At 48.0% G+C, this 20,797-nt stretch overlaps 1 protein-coding gene across 1 annotated transcript; it reads right to left on the bottom strand.

The window, feature by feature from the left end:
• Positions 1-3,130: 3,130 nt before the first annotated feature.
• Positions 3,131-13,180, bottom strand: SPDYE11 (speedy/RINGO cell cycle regulator family member E11). The gene is made up of 8 exons (NM_001351349.3): positions 13,059-13,180; positions 11,251-11,833; positions 10,043-10,261; positions 8,951-9,009; positions 7,638-7,723; positions 5,693-5,936; positions 5,466-5,570; positions 3,131-4,612 (listed from the first exon to the last, which is right to left on the bottom strand). The coding sequence occupies exons 2-7, from the start codon at positions 11,378-11,380 to the stop codon at positions 5,511-5,513; spliced, it is 798 nt and encodes a 265-aa protein (NP_001338278.1). The 5' UTR covers positions 11,381-11,833; positions 13,059-13,180; the 3' UTR covers positions 3,131-4,612; positions 5,466-5,510.

Raw genomic sequence — 20,797 nt, forward strand, 5'->3', positions numbered from 1 at the left:
GCAATAGGAGATATTGGTGACTGCAGAGTCCCCTCAGTGTTCTGCTAGTAAATAGTTGAAGGTTGATCAGTGATCTCCAGCATTTTCAGTCTGGCATGGAAAAGCCCCCATGTAACTGGTAAAGGTATCAGTAAGCACCAGGAGGTATCTAAATCCACCAGGAGCCATAGGCATCATGTTGATGTCCATTTACCAGTCTTCCCTGGCAAGATTCTCTGAATTGTACTGCCTTGGCCAAAAGAGGTATGGGAGGGGCTGGGCACAGTGGCTCACGCCTGTAATCCCAGCATTTTGGGAGACCAATTCGGGTAGATCATTAGAGGTCAGGGGTTCAAGACCATCCTGGCCAACATGGTGACATTCCATCTCTACTAAAAATACAAAAAGTCAGCGGGGTTTGGTGTTGGGTGCCTGTAATCCCAGCTACTCGGGAGGCTGAGGCAGGATAATCACTTGAACCTGGGAGGAGGAGGAGGTGGCAGTGAGCTGAGATCTCGCCATTGCACTCCAGCCTGGGCAACAAGAGCGAAACTTCATCTCAAAAAATAAAAAAAGAAGTCTGGGTGTGGTGGCTCGTGCCTGTAATCCCAGGACTTTGGGAGGCCAAGATGGGTGGATCATGAGGTCAGGAGTTCAAGACCAGCCTGGCCTAGATGGTGAAACCCTGTCTCGAGTGAAAATACCAATATTAGCTGGGCATGGTGGCACACACCTGTAATCTCAGCTACTCAGAAGTCTGAGACAGAAGAATTGCCAAAACCCGGGAGGGAGAGGTTGCAGTGAGCCGAGATCGCGCCACTGCACTCTAGCCTGGGCGACAGAGCAAGACTCCGTCTCGAAAGAAAGAAAGAGAAAGGAAATTCCCCAGGGAAGTACCTCGGCTTATTTCATGAAGAGGTACTGAAGGAAGCAGAGGCATGTGGAGGACTTCCCCACCTCGTGCAGCTATTTGGGCCGTGGCGTCTGAAATTTCTTATTTCAGAGTCACCCCTTTGATGACCTTGGCAGTGGACTGCAGTCATCTGTTTAGGCCTCTCCATGGCCCGTGTCAATGCCGATATTTCTGTCTGTTGCACATTTGATTTCCTTGTTGTTGGCATTTAGAAGGCCCCCTGTTTCCCAGATCACACCACGGGCATGGACCGCAGAGATTGCATCTTGTGAGTCTGTAGAAACAGTCAAGGCCTTGTCCTCTCTTAGGTCCAGAGCTCAGGTGAATGCAGATTTTCCCGGCCATCTGTGCTGAAGTCCCTGTGGGGAGGCTCCTGGCTGGTTTCCTGTAGGTAGACAGCTACACATCCTGCCCTTCATTGGCTTCTTTTCATGAAGCTCCTGCTGTCTACAAAACATGTCTCCCTTTTCTTCTTGAACCACATCTCTGTTATTGAAACTCTAGAAGTCAGCCAGGCACAGTGGCTATGCCTGTAATCCCAGCACTTTGGGAGGCCAAGGTGGGTGGATCACCTGAGGTCAGGAGTTCAAGACCAGCCTGGCCAACATGGCGAAACCCTGTCTCTAATACAAATACTAAAATTAGCCAAGCATGGTGGCCACTGCACTCCAGCCTGGGTGACAGAGCAAGACTCTGTCTCAAATAAAGAAAGAGAAAGTATCATGCTTTTCAGAGTTCTGTGGGTTGTTATGGTGAATTATCAAACCTGAGGACGTGGTGGGAACCTCCAAATTTGCAGCCAGTTGGTGAGAAGTACATGCGGTCTGTGGACACCCAAGCTTGCAGCTGCATCTGAAGCGAGGGCAGCCTAGCGGGGGCTGGTGGCCTTAACCTGTGGCATTTGATGTAACATCAGGGAGTTGACATCAGAATTACGTCACACAGGCCAGGTGCAGTGGCTCATGCTTATAATCCCAGCAATTAGAAAGGCAAGATAAGAAGATTGCTTGAGCTTGAGTCTGAGCCCACAGTGAGCTATGACCGCACCACTGCACCCCAGTCTGGGTGACAGCACAAGACCCCGACTCCAAAAAGAAAAAAGAAAAATCACAAAGAATTGCATGGCAGAGTGCCTGTCTTTCACAGCTTGAACTGTTGCAGGAACTTTCTTTTTTTTTTTTTCTTTTGTGATGGAGTCTCGCGCTTTCACCCAGGCTGGAGTGCAGTGGCGCGATCTCTGCTCACTGCAGGCTCCGCCTCCTGGGTTCACACCATTCTCCTGCCTCAGCCTCCGGAGTAGCTGGGACTACAGGCGCCTGCCACCGCGCCCAGCTAATTTTTTGTATTTTTAGCAGAGATGGGGTTTCACCGTATTAGCCAGGATGGTCTTGATCTCCTGACCTCATGATCCACCCACCTCAGCCTCCCAAAGTGCTGGGATTACAGTCCTGAGCCACCGCGCCTGGACTTTTTTTTTTTTTTTTGAGAGGGGTTGGGGAGACATATTCTCTGCTAGTGATTCTCCTGCCTGGTCTCGAACTCCTGCTGGGATCACAGGCGTGAGCCACCACGCCCAGCCACCTTTAGAGTTTTCTTACCACCTGGTTTTCCTCTCTCAATATCTTTCTCTCATTTCCTGCTTTAAAACTCTAGCTTGGGGTCTGGGCACAGTAGCTCATGCCTATAATCCCAGCACTTTGGGAGACTGAGGCGGGTGGATCACTTGAGGTCAGGAGTTTGAGACCAGCCTGGCCAACATGGTGAAACCTTGTCTCTACTATTTTTACAAAAGTTAGTCAGACGTACAGGCGGATGCCTGTAGTCCCAGCTACTTGGGAGGCTGAGGCAGGAGAATTTGCTTGAACGCGGAGGTGAAAGTTGCAGGGAGCCGAGGTTGTGCCACTGCACTCCAGCCTGGGAGACAGAGCGAGACTGTCTCCAAAACAAACAAACAAACAAACAAACAAAAAAACCCTGTAGCTTGGGATCAGCCTTCTCTTCTGTTGTTTTTCTTTAAAAAATAAAAATTAAAAATAGGCTTCAAGTGATCCTCCCGCCATGACCTCCAAAACTGCTGGGATTGTAGGTGTGAGCACTGCACCCAGCCGTATGTTTTTTTCTACATAAAAAACAGCACAGGATTATCTTCCAAAGCTAATAAATATGTTCAAATAACCACAACCCCATTAAGGAAAAATGTCACTTGACAGCAAATAATCAATCCAGACCACAATATGATCACACTCACTGTGAAGGTGAGAAAAGTTCATCTTTATTATGTTTCCCCAAGAGATGCACTGCACTGTTCTCTTGAAAACACACAGCTCATGTCCTCCTTTAGAACACACATCCTCTTTAAAGTAACATACAAACATGCCAAAACAAGATAAAAAATTCCATCTGAATTCTCACATTTCAAACATACACTAAATATCAAATAAAAATTTATTTTTACAAGAATTTAGGGGAACTACCACATAGCTATAAATGTAATATATATGTTAACTAAGTATCATAGATAAAAACCATGCTCCCTTCAGCAGCACGTGTAATAATAGATACAAAGATTGAAAGGTAAAAGATTTAGGATGAAAAGAATCCTCTCTTAAAAAGGAAAACAAAATTATATGTATGTGTATACAACAGTTATAATACCCATCACACAGCTTTATAGAAACAGCATCTATTCAAAAATACCAGTATTTCCAAAATATTTAAAATAATATTTAAAGTAATAATAATATTTAAATAAATAAATATATTTAATAAATATTTCAGTAAATAAAATAATATTTAAATAATTCTATACCCATGTTTTTCAAAATAAACCAATAAAATAGATAGTATATATTAGACGTGTTAGTATATATATCTGAGACATGTTAAAAATCACAACTGAATTCTCACAAGTCAGTCACAAACCTAAACAGCAAATAAAAATTTCTATCACCAGAATTATGTTTTTTTCTGGTGGGGAACTACCAATAGCTATAAATAGAAGAGATTATTATGGAAGTATCATAGATAAAAAGAGTGCTCGCTTCAGGAGCACATATAATAATACAGAAAAAAAATTAAAGATAATAAAAGATTTAGGATAAAAAGAATTCTCACTTAAAAATGAAAAGAAAATTATCTTTAGGTATATATAACAACTATAACTCTCATCAAAAAACTCTACAGGAACAGCATGTTTTCAAAAGTACAACAATTTCCAAACTATTTGAAATAAACCTATTAATAATTCAATGGCCAACATTTTCCAAACAAACCAATAAAATGCATAGTGTGCATGAAGCTATCTGTTACAGTCTGTGGCACTCATATTTCACAAAGAATTCTGTGCCAATCTGAGCCCCTGCACTGTGCCTTCAAATGCTCCTGGACTGTGACAACCAAGTCCATAAGAAACAGGACCTCCAGGTTCCGCCCCAGGGAGGTTGGCATTCAGCAATATAAAAAGGGAGGTGGTGCCGCAGGAAAGGGTGGAACTGGAAACACTCCTGGTTTCTTACTTTTCTCCAAGGACTCCTAGAAGTACCCCACCCCACCCCTGCTCCTTGGAGGACAACGTGATCACTGTATTCAGCTCTGTCAAGAATGGTCCAGGTTCTTCTAGATGATCTGCACAAATGGTTCCTCTCCTCCTTCCTGATGTCTGCCATTAGCATTGGAATAAAGTTCCTGCTGAAAATCCACATCTCCCCTGGGTCCGGTGTTCTGGAAGTGAGAGAGACAATGTCACACTTCAAGGAGGCAGCTCTCTAGACAGGAAGGTTATTCACGTCCCATGTCAAGTCTAGCTAGAGTTCAGAGCAATTGAGAAGTGCAATTTTATCTCCTGCCTTTCATTCTATACCCTGCTTCTGAACCATCGTGTTCAACTGTGAAACTCACACTTTGGTGACCCTGACTCCAAAACTTAATACACCCAAGGTCAGCCCCAGTGATCTGCTTCATAGCCAGGACTTTGGGTGGGTCTTCCCAGGGAGTAGGGCACCCTCAGAGAATGTGGCTTTGGACTTCATCACAGCTGGGGCCTTTTGTGTCACTTCAGATCTAAACTTGTAACCGTGCTAGATCTGTTTCTAACGTGACAACATCACGAACCACGAGTCCAGAAGCCTAATCCATAATCCTCCCTCCTCATGACGAAGTCTCATGCTCTGTGCTCAACATGGTTAGCTGCACAAGATGTAAACCAAAGCTTCACTGAACCCTCGACCCAAATCGGTAACTCAAGTGCATCAATCATAATGAACCTCCCCGAACTCAGTATTTATGATTATTTTTGAGGCAGGGTCTCACTCTGTCGCCCGGGCTGGAGTGCAGTGGCAGGATCAGGGCTCCCTGCAGCACCGACCTCCCAGGCTCCAGCGATCCTCCCGCCTCAGCCTCCTGAGTAGTTGGGAGTAGAGATGCCTCCCACATCGCCTGGCTAATTTTTGTATTTTTGTGGAGAGGGGATCTCGCCACGTTGCCCAGGCTTGAAGCCAGATCAAGCAATTGGGTTCCTTGGATTTCCGAAATAGACCCCAATATTCTGCCTTTACCCCGGAGGATGCAGATGTACCTTCTCTCAGGCCGATGACCTCAGGCCTCCACGGTCCCTGGAGCTCTAGGAAAGGTGGGCGCGATCTCGCGCCCACACCCAGTGCTCTGGGTCATAAGCCTGGATCTGGAAAAACAAACGCGCTTTGAGAAGACGGGGACTCCCCAGGATACCCCTCTCTCCCCTCGTCCAGCCTCCAGCCCACCCGATTCCTCCCCACATCCTCCACGTCCCCAGGCCCCACCCACCTCTTCCAACTCCTCCAGGGAAACCCAAGCCCTGCAGCGCATGGAACAAAAGAAGTGGAACCGATACTTCCGGAACAAGGCTATCTGAGAGCAGTTCTTCCTGGCCCTCGGGTTCATGTAACGGCATAACTGGAACCAAAGCTCACTGAGCAAGGGTATATGAGAGCGGGTCTCCTCGTACAGGAAGTAGAAGATGTTTTGTTTGGGGGCCTCGTCGTCCTCCTCCATGTCATTGGCCAGATAGCTGAGGACAGAAATCAGGTTGCTGCTCAGGGGCACCACCAGGAGAGACCTCCGGCTGAGGTCAGCTTCTCAGAGAGGAAGGTAAGGGACCGTCCCTAGCTCAGGACTGGCACCCACCCTGCAGAGAGCCACGCCTTCCTCAGGAGGGCTCTGCTGGACAGAGACCTGATCAAGGGCGTCTCCCACTCCTTCAGGATGGAGACAAAAACCCAACTGGTGACCAAGAGTGGTGGCTTATGCCTGGAATCCCAGCACACTGGGAGGCCGAAGCAGGAGGATCACTTGAGGCCAGGAGTTTGAGACAGGCCTGGGCAACATAGCAAGACCCTCGTCTCTATTAAAAATATAAAAAATACGCCAGACGTGGTGGCTCATGCCTGTAATCCCAGCGCTTTGGAAGGCTGAAGCAGGTGGATTGCTTGAGACCAGGAGTTTGAGACCAGCCTGGTCAACACAGAGAAACCCCATCTATACTAAAAATACAAAAATCAGCCTGGTGCGGTGGCACACCCATTAGTCCTAGCTACTCAGGAGGCTGAAGCATAAGAATTGTGTGAACCCAGGAGGCGGAGGTTGCAGTGAGCCAAGATTGGGCCCCTCCATTCCAGCCTGAGAGACACAGCAACACTCTTGTCTTGATAAATAAATAAATAAATAAATAACTGTCCAGGTGTGGTGGTACAGCCCTGTAGTCGGAGCTAATCAAGAGGCTGAGGTGGGAGGATCGCTTGAGCCCAGGATATGGAGGCTGCGGTGAGCTATGATCTCACCACTGCACTCCAGCTTAGGGGACAGGGCAAGTCTGTCTCAAAAAAAAAAAAAAAGCAATTGAATACACTGATATTTTGCCAGGACCCTGCCTTCTACAGGCATCTAGTCTAATGGGACTGGGAGTAATCAGGGGAGATGACCTAATCCCAATGTCACATTATAATAGGATGTAACTGGAGAGCTACGGGCATGCAGAAGTTGGAAGACGAGGGAAGGCATCACAGAGGCTGTGGGGTGAACCGACTTCAAGGAATGGGTCCTTCCCTTCAGAACCACATGTGTGCGGGACACCCAGACAGAAAACACAAATGCAAAGTCAAGTGGAGGGCATTTGGAAGGAGCAGTGAAGCCAAGCCAGGAAACACCAAGATGGCGAGCCAGTGTGGTTGTAGAGATTGTAGAGAGGGTGGAATTGGCACTGTGGACCCTGGCCTCGATAGAGAAAGACATCAGCTAAGGAAGTTGTTCAGGTGGGCAGTGAGGTTGTCGTGCTTTGGAAAGATGTTCAGGCTGCACTAGGAAGCCCCCTGGCTTGGGGAGAGACTCCAGGAAACCCCAGCAGGGAGCATTTGACAGTGGATTCGAGTGATGCAAGGGGGACCTGGACTGTGACCTCTGTCACGGGAACCCGGAGGAGGCTGATGGCTTTTGCGGTTGATGTGGGAAGGAGAGAGAACAACCGGAAACGTCTGCTTGCTGGGGGAAGTGTCATGTCCGCTCCTCCGCTCCTTTTCTTCTCCCCTTAGGAGCGGTTCATGGTTCCTTTTGTTTTTTGTTCTTTTTTTTTTTTTTGAGACTATAATCCTGTCTTTTTTGTACACAGAGTAAAGAGGACAAATAGGTGAAAGAATAAATGAAAGGCTGGAATCCCACTTCCCCCGCTGTCCCAGGGCATTGGATATTGATGGATAGGAGGCAGCAAACCACTCACAGAGCCAGGAAGAAATGAATGCGTTGGTATTGCCAGGAGGGGAGGCCGGCCCGGCTGAAATACGCTATGACCATAGCCAGGAGATACTGATGGAGAGAAAGGAACACAGAGAGGGAGAGGTCACATCTTGGGAGAGGAAGATTGTGGATATAGTGGAATGGGGGTCTGGGGAGGGGTTGCCCATCAGAGAAGGGACCTCAGTGTTGGGGTGACTGTGCTCATGTGGAAATTGCGGGGTGGAGGGGTATTCGAAGGTCGGATGCAAATCCGAGAAGCCGGAGGAAGGGTTTTTGGTGATGCTCCCAGGATGGTGGGCTCCGATGGGATCTTTGGAGGGGGTGTGTCTAGGTCGGCTGGTGTCAGGAGGGTCTTTTGTGTGCCAGGCAGAGAACTGTCCCAAGGAGCTGAGAGTAGAGGGCCCAGGAGCTTCAGGGCTGCAGCCAGACTGTGGCCCAGGGCTCAGATCCCAAAGGACCCATAGGAGAGGCAGGGGCCACTCATTCACTCTGCAAGAGACCAGCAGAATCCTGACGGAGATGCTGACAAATCATAAAAAGACAAAGAATAGCCGGGAGTGGCAGCTCAAGCCTGTGATCCCAGTACTTTTTGAGAGGTGGAGACAGGAGGATCATGTGAGCCCAACAGTTGGAGAACAACCTGGGCAACACAGCGAGACCCTGTTTCTAAGAAGATTTCAAAAATTAGTTGAGCATGGTAGCATGTGCCTAGTCCCAGCTCCTCAGGAGGCTAAGGAAAGAGGATTGCTTGAGCCCAGGAATTAGAGTGAGCTATGATCATGCCACTGTACTCCATCCTGGGGAGCAGAGCTGGACTCTGTCTCAGAAAAAAAAATGTGTGGGTGCCAAGACTCAAGACCATGGGAGCTGGTCAGACACAGTGCTGACGTCTGTAATCTCAGCACTTTGGGAGGCCAAGGCGGGTGGATCACCTGAGGTCAGGTGTTCGGGACCAATCTGGCCAACATGGCAAAACCCCGTCTCTACTAAAAACACAAAAATTAGCCAGGCGTGGTGGTTCATGTTTGTAATCCCAGCTGCTTGGAGGCTGAGGTGGGAGAATCGCTTGAACCCAGGAGGCATCAGCTGCAGTGAGTCAAGATCGAGACACTGCCCTCCAGCCTGGGCAGCAGAGCAAGACTGTGTCTCACAAAAAAAAACAAAAACAAAAACAAAAAAAAACTGTAGGAGCATCTGGTGGGAGGTGGTGGACGGAGAACTGTGGGTTTGGAAGCTGCGCCCTCCCCCTGGCCGTGCGTTAGAACAGGAACACAGTTACATAGAGAACAACCTTACCTTGTCCGACACCCTCAGATCTTTGTCCCAGGCCAGGAGTCTTTTAATGACAGGATCCTCTGTGATTAGAGAGCAGATGTCAGTGTGAGAAGCAGGACAGGGTTTCCGTGAGAGCAGCAGGGCAGCGAGGAGAAGTGTGCCTCCCGGGGGAAAGTCTCAGGATTGTGGCCGCGGGTGAGGTGGATGAGAGAGGGGAGAATGACTTTCACTGGGCAAGGGAGAGAGGCTCCTGCTCTGAGACTCCCCTGAGAAGAGGCCGAAGGAGGCCCTGGGTGTGAGAATCTACAGGATGTAGAGCTGGGAATCAGCCAGGACCCCCTCCAGCAGACACGGAGGGACCACTGCAGAGTCATAAAGGAATTCCCATCATTTCCTCATGAGACAGTCACACATCAGGGTGTGACCATGGCCTTGGGATCCCCCACTATGGATGGAGACACTTAGGTTTAGCAAAGTCAGTAAGAAACATTAAGTTTCAGAGGGCACAGCTGAAACCACTTTTTTGATTTTTGATTTTGTTTTTCTTTATTTGATTTTTATTTTTATTTATTTATTAATTTATTTTGAGACAGAGTCTTGCTCTGTGGGCCAGGCTGGAATGCATTGGCCTGATCTTGGCTCACTGCAACCTCTGCCTCCTGGGTTTAAGCAGTTCTCCTGTCTCAGCCTCCCGAGTAGCTGGAACTACAGGGATGAGCTACTGTGCCCAGCCTTGGTTTTTCTTTTGACGCAGAGTTTTGCTCTGTCACCCAGGCTGGAGTGCAGTGGTGCAGTCATAGCTCACTGCAGCCTCAAAGTCCTGAGTTCAAGCAATCCTCTTGCCTCAGCCTCCCAACGTGCTGGGATCTCAGGCGGGAGCCACAGCGCCTGGCCCAAAACCAAGCTTTCTTATCCCAAGCACCGACCTTTATCAAGTCTACCTAATCCTCTGTTGTCTCCTTAAGTGTCCCTCATGAGTGATCACTTCAGAGTCCTCCCGCATGGAGAGCTCACCCACTGGGGCATATTTTTCCCATTGGAAAAGTGTGGTTATTGGAAGTTTCCTCTTTAGAAAGAACAGGATTGGAGGTGCTCTCTGGGGTGTCCTCCTACCAAGCAGCCTGTTGAAGGCCTCGTAGTACTCAGGGAGCACGAGCGACACTCGCCGTCGCTTCGCCTTCATCTTGAGGCCACACAGCGTCTCCGCCACCCAGGTCTCCTCAGGCTCAGGGGCGAGCTCCTTCTCTGGCTCATCATCAGATTCATCCAAACATTCCCTCTTCCTTTTCCAGCCAAGGGACCTACGTGGGGGGCTGGGATCTACCCCAGGGGCTGAGTAAAGAAACCAGGCCACCGTGTAATGCTTCTGCAACTGATCACGTTAGACCCCGACCCCAAACCCCAAACCACTCTCCATCCTCCCCAGCCTCGCAGACTGCTGGCTTCTCCAAGCCACCTTTCTGACTTTCTCCTCTGCTCAACCCCATGTGCCACTCCTTCCCCTCCCCATTCTTCCCTCTCTCTGTCCTCAGAACACTGCCTCATATCCTTCCCTGGTCCCTGGCTCTCTGAGTCCCTCTTTTTTTTTTTTTTTTTTTGTTTCGAGACAGAATCTTGCTTTGTCACCCAGGCTGGAGTGTAGTGGTGCAATCTCAGCTCACTGCAACATGCATCTCCCGGATTCCAGTTATTCTCCTGCCTCAGCCTCTCAGGTAGCTGGGATTACAGGTGCCTGCCATAATGCCCAGCTCCATTTTGTACTTTTAATAGAGACAGGGTTTCACCATGTTGGCCAGGCTGGTCTCAAACTCCTGGCCTCAAGTGATCCGCCTGCCTTGGCTTCCCAAAGTGCTGGGATTACAAGTGTGAGCCACTGCACCCAGCCTGAATTTCTCCATTCTTCCCACACACCCTCCCCAGGTTCTCCTTCCTGACCTCTGACCCTTCTTTTTTTTCTTCTTTTTTTTTTTTTTTTTTTTTTTGAGATAGCATCTCACTCTGTCACCCAGACTGGAGTGCAGTAGCACGATCTTGGCTCACTGCAACCTCTTCCTCCCAGGCTCAAGTGATTCTCCTGTCTTAGCCTCCCAAGTAGCTGGGATTGTAGGCACACACCACTACCGCCTGGCTAATTTTTGTACTTTTAGTAGAGATGGGGTTTCACCATGTTGGCCAGGCTGGTCTTGAACTCCTGACCTCAGGTGATCTGCCCGCCTCAGCCTCCCAAAGTGTTGGGGTTACAGGGGTGAGCCACCACGCCTGGCCCCCTTCCTTCATCTTAGTCAATCCTATGCCACCTCTTCTTCCTCCAGTCCCCTCACCTGATGGTCCCGACACTTCATCATCCACCACCTCCTGGAGGGGGTACCCTGAGGTGCTCCGCTGGGGGCTCCGCTCTTCCTGGGGCTGCGGTTGATGGCTCATCATGATCTTTCCCAAAATCTGTCCCATCTCACCAAACCTAGTCTCTGTTCTGTCCTTGGTCTTCTTCTGGACACTGCTGGGATCCAGAAGAGTGTGTTATCAATTCTCGAGGCTGGGAGAAGTCAGGAGTGGAGAACAGCTCTGAGAAGTTACTGTTGTCCAACTGAACTCCCAGGTGCCGACAGAGTCCGGTCCCTCCAATCAGGAAGGTCGGAATCTCTGATGTCATCGCTCATGCCAACCTGGCAACCAGTTTGAAAAAAAACACATGTAACTGCCAGGCTGATCTCTTGTCCTGGAGATCCTGGGTGAATGGTATCTCCTGCCACTGTCCCAACCTCAGACCACTGTCCAAAAGCATCTTCAGGGTCTCCGCATCCCTCTGTTCCCTGTCCCAGCAGAGGCTGTGTCCTCTCCACTCAAAGCTTGAAGCGTGTTGGGGTCTCCTCTTCTCTGTACATGCCCGTTTCAGAGTCCAGTCTGGTGGGAGAGGGATCAGGATGGGAAAGAAAAGTAGGGTAAGCAGAAACGATGAAACCTTACAAGAGTGAGATTATCATGTACAAGAGATCCCAGGAACATTGACTTGATGAAAAAGTCACATCAGAGCACTCAATTTGGCAGAGGTTTTCTGCCGAGTGTCTACTGACATTCACTGTCCGAGATTCTGTACTGGGGGTACACGCGTCCTCTGCCCTAAGGCATCTTTGAGTCCAAGAGATATTTTGAGGACTGGAAATCATAGGAAACTGCCCATGAGTTCACACATATTTCCAATGGTGTCCCCAATTTCAGGGAGTCCACGGATCACCTAAAGCCAGCCCCTCCAGTTTGGCTAAGAAACTCTATATATCAAGTTTTGTATCATATGTATTGCTCTTAACTCAGAAAATTCCACCATTTATAGCAGTGGTTTATTTATTTATACCATTGAAGGAAATGGTTTATTTATGAATCTATATTATGGATATTCTATAAGATACTGGGTGTACAAAAAGACTAAGTCGAAAAATCTCAGCTGTGCACAGTGGCTCATGCTTGTAATCCCATCTCTTTGGGTGGCCAAGGGAGGAAGACTGCCTGAGGCCAGCAGTTCAAGACCAGTATAGGCAACATAGCAAGAGCCCATCTCTAAAACAAAACAAAACAAAACAAAACAAAATTAGCCAGGTGTCGTGGCTGGCACCTGTGTTCCAACAACTTGAGAGACTGAGGTGGCAGGAGGATTGCTTGAGCCTAGGAGTTAGGGGCTGCAGTGAGCTGTGATCGTGACACCGCACTCCAGTCTGGGCAACACAGCAAGACCTTGTGTCAAAAAAATTTTTTTAATTAAATATAAAAGAGTTTCATGACATTCAGAGACCATCCAAAGAACCTGTGGGTTCCGGCCAGGCACAGTGGCTCACGCCTGTAATCCCAGCGCTTTGGGAGGCCATAGCAGGTGGATCGCTTGAGGTCAGGAGTTTAAGAGCAGCCTGGCCAACATGGTGAAACCCCATCTCTTCTAAAAATACAAAAAATTAGTCAGGCATGGTGGTGGGTGCCTGTAATCCCAGCCACTCAGGAGGCGGGGACAGCAGAATGGCTTAAACTTGGGAGGCGGAGGTTGCAGTGAGCCAAGGTCACACCATTGCACTCCAGCCTGGGCAACAAGAGCAAAACTACATCTCAAAAAAAAAAAAAAAACAAAAAAAACAAAAAGAACCTGTGGATGAGTTCCCACATGGCTTCCTAACGGGCTGCGGCTCTCCTAGGAGTCTCTCGCTCATGGGAAAGGCACAAACTGAATGCGGAAGGAAATCCCATTGCTGTGGAAGTCCCATTGTTAGGAAGCTCTGCTTTTCTGGAGTTCAAATTTGCATTCATGACGCTTTAAACCGTCAGAGCTGGGTGTGTCCTCCTACAACAAATCACTTTACTCTCTCTCCTAGTTAACAGGCTTTCAAATATTAGAACATCCATGTTCTGACCTCATTAAAATTGCTCTTTTGTGGAATGAAAAGCTCTGATTTAACCCGTCTTTAAGCCTGGTATGCATATTCCTCTCTGTTCCGGCCACCTTGTCTAGACACACTACACTGAGGCAGTGCCCATCTTAGATGATGTTGATACATTGTCAAAAAATGGGCAAACCAGGTGCGGCGGCTCACACTTGTAATCCCAGCACTTTTGGAAGCTGATGCCGACAGATAACCAGAGGTGAGGAGGTTGAGATCAGCCTGGCCAACATGGTGAAACCTGTCTGTTTTTCTGTAAAAATACAGAAACAATGAGCTGGGCGTGGGAGTGCACTTCTGTAATCCCAGCTACTTGTGGGGCTGAGGCAGGAGAATCACTTGAACCGGGAAGGTGGAGGTTCCAGTGAGCCGAGATCACGACACTACACTCCAGCCTGGGCGACAGAGTGAGACTCCGACTCAAAAAAAAAAAAAAAAAAAGTGCCAGACAGCCCAGGTTTGGTCTGATATGTTCAGAAAAAAGCAAAACAGTCACCTCTCACCTTTTCTTTTCCTGCAATGATGCCGTTTAATACAACAATGGCTGTAGGTCTGCGGCAGAAATATCATTCAAGTGAAACAGAAGGGCTTTCCTGGCTGGACACAGTGGTCACTCCTGCAATCCCAACACTTTGGTTGGCTAAGGTGGGAGGATTTCTTGCGGCCAGGAGTTCGAGGCTGCAGTGAGCTGTGATCCACCACTGCATTCCAGGCTGGGCATCAGAGTGAGGCCTGTCTCTAAAAAAACCCTTCACTCCCCAAAAAAAGGGATTTTCAAATACCAGCCTTTCAGCATGAGGATCACATGGAGGAACATTAAGACACAGATGCTGGGACCCAGCCCTATTGATTGTAATTAAAAAACTGAGGTGAGGCCTGATTTAGCTCCATCATTGGAATCCATTCAGATTTGAAATTCTCTGAGTTGGACAGTGCAAGAGAGATCCTAAAGAAAGCAAAGTCACTGTGGACTGAAATGAGCTGGCAAGGTTTTCTGAGCGTGGTGAAATATGATCTGGGCCTCGCTTGGGAGGGCTGTGGCCAGGCCTTGAGTCCGTGGCTCAGTGGGACCTTCTGAAACAGCCTCCAATCCGTGCCCCCACTTCATTTGCTAGTGGATGACCCCCTCCAGCGGCTTTGGTGCTGATGGGAATAAGTCAACCTGCAGCGGAAGTTCAGCCCAAGTTTCAGCCCAGCAGCTTCTACACACCTGTCCGTGGTCTGGTCATGCTGCCATCTCTGCGATTCTCTGCGGTTCTCTGCGGAGTCGTGGTTTCTGTACCTTGAAGAGAACTTCCCCTCTGGGACCCAGAAACCCAGTGAATCCTCAGGAAAAAAGGGAATGAAATTACTGAAGACAACTCTGTGGCGGGGAGATGGAAAAGAGGCTCTCTCTCTTTTTTTTTCCTAATATTTTGAGACAGAGTTTCGCTCTTGTCACCCAGGCTGCAGTGCAGTGGCTCCATCTCGGCTCACTGCAACCTCTGCCTCCCAGGTTCAAGCGATTCTCCTGCCTCAGCCTCCCGAGTAGCTGAGATTACAGGCACCCACCACCACTCCCGGCTAATTTTTGTATTTTAGGGTTTCGTCATGTTTGCCAGGCTGGTCTTGAACACCTGACTTCAAATGATCCACCCGCCTCTGCCTCTCAAAGTGCTGGGAATACAGGCATAAGACACTGCACCCGGCCTGTTTTTGTTTTTTAGAGACAAGGTCTCTGTTGCCTTGGCTGGGGTGCAGTGGTACAATCAGCTCTCTGTTGCCTCGGCTGGGGTGCAGTGGTACAATCAGCTCTCTGTTGCCTCCTGGGCTCAAGCAATCCTCTTCTCTCAGCCTCCCAAGTAGCTGAGACTACAGGTGCATGCCTGTAGTAGATATAGCATCTTGCTCTGTTGCCCAGACTGGTCTTGAACTCTTGGTCACAAGCGATCCTCTTGCCTTGGCCTCTCAAAGTGCTGGAATTACACGCGTGAGCCATTGAGCCCAACCAGATAAGATGATCTTTAAGGGCCCTTCCCATGGCACCATAATCCAAGTCAGCGAGACTGTGGCTATAGCAAGTTTAACATAACCAGATACGCTAGTATTATGGGCTGCATGGTGTGCCCCCCACCCCTAATTCATGTATTGAAGCCATGACCCTCCAGACCTTAGAGGTGACCTTATTGGAACCAGAGTCTTTACAGAGGTGATCAAGTTAAAATGAGGTCACTAGAGGCCAGGCACTGTGGCTCACACCTGTAATCCCAGCACTTCGGGAGGCCGAGGCAGGCAGATAATGAGCCCAAGAGACCGAGACCATGATGTCCAACATGGTGAAACCCTGTCTCTACTAAAAATACAAAAATTAGCCAGGCGTGGTGGTGTGGGCCTGTAGTCCCAGCTACTCAGGAGGCTGAGGCAAGAGAATCGCTTGAACCCGGAAGGCAGAGATTGCAGTCAGCCAAGATCATGCCACTACACTCCAGCCTGGGTGACAGAGTGAGACTCTATCTCAAAAAAATAAAAATTAAAAAACTAAAAACCTACAGTACCGCCTTTTACATAATGCAATGGTTTGGTAAGCACATGCACCCCAGGGAGGTAGTGGCAGATTCAGTCAACCTTCCCAGCAGCGTGGAGACGCAGTCAGGCATAGCAGGTGTTGATGTGGTTTGAACCCACAGCTTGGCTCAAATCCACACTCCCCTACTTAGTACCGAGTGAAGCCACTTACCCTCTAAGTGCCTTACTTTTCTTTTCTTTTCTTTTTTCTTTTTTCGAGACAGAGTCTCGCTCTGTCACCCAGGCTGGAGTGCAGTGGCATGATCTTGGCTCACTGCAAACTTCGCCTTCCAGGTTCAAGCAATTCTCCTGCCTCAGCCTCCCAAGTAGCTGGGATTACAGGCGCCCACCACCATGCCGGGCTAATATTTGTATTTTTGATAGAGATGGGGTTTCACCATATTGCCCAGGCTGGTCTCGAACTCCTGACCTCAAGTGATCTGTCTGCCTCGGCCTCCCAAAGTACTAGGATTAGAGGCATGAGCCACCACACCTGGCCACTTTTCTTATCTATATTTGTTATGTGGATGACTTGTGTTAACGCAAATAAGATGCTGCTCGTCATCTTTAAAGAAAATAGGTGGCAACCTGTTATAGCAAGTCCTGTTTTTATTTGTACTTATGAGGCTTTAATTAAACGCTAAGAATTAAAATGCACATAATAATAGACTTTACCTCACAAACTGGCTTCAAATATTCGATGAGACTTACATGTATTACTTAAATGAGGTTAAATTTAACCTTTTAAAAATGATTTATTGTGGCTGGGCACAGTGGCTCACACCTGTAATCCCAGCACTTTGGGAGGCCAAGGCAGACGGATCACTTGAGGCCAGGAGTTGAAGACCAGCCTGACCAACACGGCAAAACCCCATCTCCGCTAAAAATACAAAAATTAGCCAGGCATGGTGGTGCACACCTGTAATCCTAGCTACTCAGGAGGCTGAGACACAAGAATCGCTTGAACCCGGGAGGCAGAGGTTGCAAGGAGGTGAGATCACACCACTGCACTCCAGCCTGGGCAATAGAGTGAGGCTCTGCCTTAAAACAAAGAAAAATGATTTTGGGGGATGATGGGGTGTCACTGTGTTGACCAGGCTTGTCTCAAACTCCTTGCCTCAAGCAATCCACCCACCTCAGCCTCCCAAGTAGCTGGAACTACAGGCGCATGCCACCACGCCTGGCTAATGTGTGTGTGTGTGTGTGTGTGTGTGTGTGTGTAGAAACAAGGTCTTACTGTGTTGTTTAAGCTGCTCTCAAACTCCTGGGCTCAAGTGATCCTCCCACCTCGGCCTCCCAAAGCATTGGAATTACAGGTGTGAGCCACCTCACTGAGCCCTCCACCTTTCAGCTGAACGCAGAAAAGTACAATCTTTTAACCCAAAGCGTTCCTCACACTTAGGGTCAGGAAGAGCCCTTCATGCCCTGGAGGCAACTACTAACCCTCTGCTAAACACTCTGACTCTGGGTGTGAGAAACACACCTACTGTGCCCCACATATTTTTCCAAATACAACTTAATTTAGCCTTCACGACAACCCTGGAGTGAAGGATCATTAACTTTATTTCATAGATGTGGAAACTGAGACTCAGAGGCAGGAAATGACCTCCTTCTGGAGGCTGCAAATTCTTTGATGCTCCTTTGATCAACAGGTGGGAGCTGGCCAGAGGTGGTGGCTCACACCTATAATCCCAGCACTTTGGGAGGCCAAGGTGGGAGGATTGACTGAGGCCAGGAGTTTGAAACTAGCCTGGGCAACATAGCAAGACCTCATCTCTACAAAAAATACACAAATTAGCAGGGTGTGGTGGTGCACACCTGTAGTCGCAGCCACTCGGGAGGCTGAAGTGGTAGCATTGCTTGAGCCCAGGAGGTTGAGGCTGGAGTGAGCCATGATCAAGCCACTGCACTCCAGCCGAGGAGATGGAGATAGACCCTGTCTCAAACAACAACAAAAAAATAGGTGAGGATCAGCCAGGCATGGTGGCTCACGCCTGTAATCCTAGAACTTTGGGAGGCCAAGGTGGGAGGATTGCTTGAGGCCAGGACTTCAAGACCAGCCTGGGCAGCCTAGCAAGATCCCATCCCTTAAAAAAAAGTTTTTAGGCTGGGCATGGTCACTCATGCCTGTAATCCTAGCACTTTGGGAGGCCAAGGCAGGCGGGTTGCCTGAGCTGAGGAGTTTGAGACCAGCCTGGGCAACATGGTGAAATCCTGTCTCTACTAAAATACAAAAAATTAGCCAGGTGTGGTGTTGGGCACCTGTAATCCCAGGTACTCAGGAGGCTGAGGCAGGAGAATTGCTTGAACCCAGGAGGCAGAGGTTGCAGTGAGCCGAGAGCGCACCACTCCACTCCAGCCTGGACAACAGAGCGAGACTCCGTCTCAACAAAAAAATGTTTTTAATTAGCCAGCTGTGATGATGCATGCCCATGTCCCAGCTACTTGGGAGGCTGAAGCAGGAGGATTGCTTGAGCCTGGGAGGTCAAGGCTGCAGTGAGCTATGATTGCGCCCCTGCACTCCAGCCTGGACAGCGGAGGGAGACCCTGTCTGAAAATAAAAAAAGAGGTGGGGGCCTATGACCCCCCCTTTAATTTTGGCCCAACCTTAGTAACAGGATAGTCATTGAGTAGGGCAAAAGTGATGTTATGATGTTTTTCAGCCTCCAATTTACAGTCTAAAACATGTCTTGGGTAAACACAGCAAGACTCCATCTCAAAAAAAAAAAAGAAAAAAAATCAGAAGTGAACCTGTAGCCTGTAGTGTGTTGCCAAATAAACTTATTTTTAGAGATACTTCTTTCCATTTTCTGTGAGGTCATCTGCAGTTTCACATGGTAGACAGACTTAGGTGAGATTCTTAGCAACATAGAATGAAGAGTAAAGAGGTTTGTTTATTTCACAAGGGTTTATTGAAGGCCTACGATGTGTTAAATGCTGTAGGAAATACCCACTGATTTCTCTTTTCATGGAGGTTTCCCGCCTTCTCTTAACGAGTGATCAATTAAACTGTTTACTGGGAACTTGCTAAGTTAATGAACACACGGGATACATTCTTTGGATGAGCAGACATTGGTTGGGCAGAGGGGCAAGAGGAGAGCAGTTTAGACAGAGACCTGCTTATACACTGTAGTGTCTAAGAGAGCTTGTGATGTTCAGGAAACAGTTGTTCACTGTGCTGCAATATAGGGGACGGCCAGTTGCGGTGGCTCACACCTGTAATCCTAGTGCTTTGGAAGGCCAAGGCGGGCAGATCACCTGAGGTCAGGAGTTAGAAACCAGCCTGGCCAACATGGTGAAACCCCATCTCTACTAAAAACACAAAAATTAGCTGAGTGTAATGGTGGATGCCTATAATCCCAGCAACTTGGGAGGCTGAGACAGGAGAATCACTTGAACTTGGGAGGTGGAGGTTGCAGTGAGCCGAGATCATGCCATTGCACTCTAGCCCAGGTGACAGGGTGAGACTCTGTCTCAAATAATAATAATAATAATAATAATAATAATAATAATAATAATAATAATAATAATGTAGGGGACTTGATGAAGGGAAAGGATCAGAGAGATTCTGAAAAGAAGGTAGTTTGGGGCCCAGTGATGACTAGATTTTAAGTTTCATATAGTAGGAAGTGGGGCACTAGTAATTTTTCAAGCAGAAAAATTATTTGACCAGATTCGTGATTTCAAAAATAGCTCTGGTGATAGAGTGGAGGATGGGTTGGAGCAGGGAATAAGGGGAAATGAAACCGTTATAAAACTCTTAAAGTGGGCTGGGCATGGTGGCTCACGCCTGTAATCCCAGCACTTTGGGAGGCTGAGGCGGGCGGATCACAAAGTCAGGAGATCGAGACCATCCTGGCTAAAACGGTGGAACCCTGTCTCTACTAAAAATACAAAAAATTAGCTGGGCATGGTGGTGGGCGCCTGTAGTCCCAGCCACTCAGGAGGCTGAGGCAGGAGAATGGTGTGAACCCGGGAGGCAGAGCTTGCAGTGAGCTAAGATCGTGCCACTGCACTCCAGCCTGGGCGACAGGGCGACAGAGCAAGAATCCGTCTCAAAAAAAAAAAAAAAAAAAAAAAAAAAACCTCTTAAAACAAGTACAGCAAGAACTTTGAGGGTCTTTGCTAAGACAGCAGCTGGCAGCTTCAATTTGGAGTAGGGTATCAAAGGCAACTGTGTATAAGGAATAGTTATATAACTGGTATCCAATTTCTGAGATGATTTTGACTTAAACATTGTGTATTTCCCAGCATACTGTTGGTTTTTCTAATTATGTGGGAAATTATGTTGCTTTTACTTTTTTTTTTGCTCATTGCCCAGCCTAGGGTGCAATGCTGCAATCTCAGCTCACTGCAACCTCCGCCTCCCAGGTTTAAGTGATTCTTCTGCCTCAGCCTCCCAAGTAGCTGGGATTACAGGCGCCCACCACCATGCCTGGCTAATTTTTTGTATTTTTGGTAGAGACAGGGTTTCACGACGTTGGCCAGGCTGGTCTCAAACTCCTGATCTCAAGTGATCCACCTGCCTCTGTGTCCCAAATTGCTGGGATTACAGGCATGAGCCACCGCACCGGCCATGCTTTCAGTTTTCAAGAAAGAAGACACCATTATTGCCAAAGATTTTGGTAATTTGAGAGATACAATGTATGTTTTCTCCATGTGGATACTAGATAGTAAGGATGTGTTGAATTTGAAGTGTCTATCCAGAAGTATTTTGGGTACTTGTTTAAGGATTGTAAAACAATGTTTCCATTTCTGGATATAATAAATGTATTTGTTAATATAATAAATGAATAGATTAGACCCATAAACTATTTGCAGTGTTGAGTCATTTCCCACAGTTAAAATCAGGATGAAAATATATAGCTGAATACCTGCTTTGTTTCTTGTAACTGATTTCTTT

Source organism: Homo sapiens, chromosome 7 (assembly GCF_000001405.40).
Source record: "Homo sapiens chromosome 7, GRCh38.p14 Primary Assembly".
Classification (NCBI taxonomy): Eukaryota; Metazoa; Chordata; class Mammalia; order Primates; family Hominidae; genus Homo; species Homo sapiens.

Coding starts and splice junctions, on each gene's coding strand:
- SPDYE11 (NM_001351349.3), bottom strand. CDS start 11,380: ATGGGACAGATTTTGGGAAAGATCATGATGAGCCATCAACCGCAGCCC. Junction 9,010..10,042: donor GGCCTTCAACAGGCTGCTTG/GTAGGAGGACAC, acceptor CTCTAATCACAG/AGGATCCTGTCATTAAAAGA. Junction 7,724..8,950: donor ATCTGAGGGTGTCGGACAAG/GTAAGGTTGTTC, acceptor TCTCTCCATCAG/TATCTCCTGGCTATGGTCAT.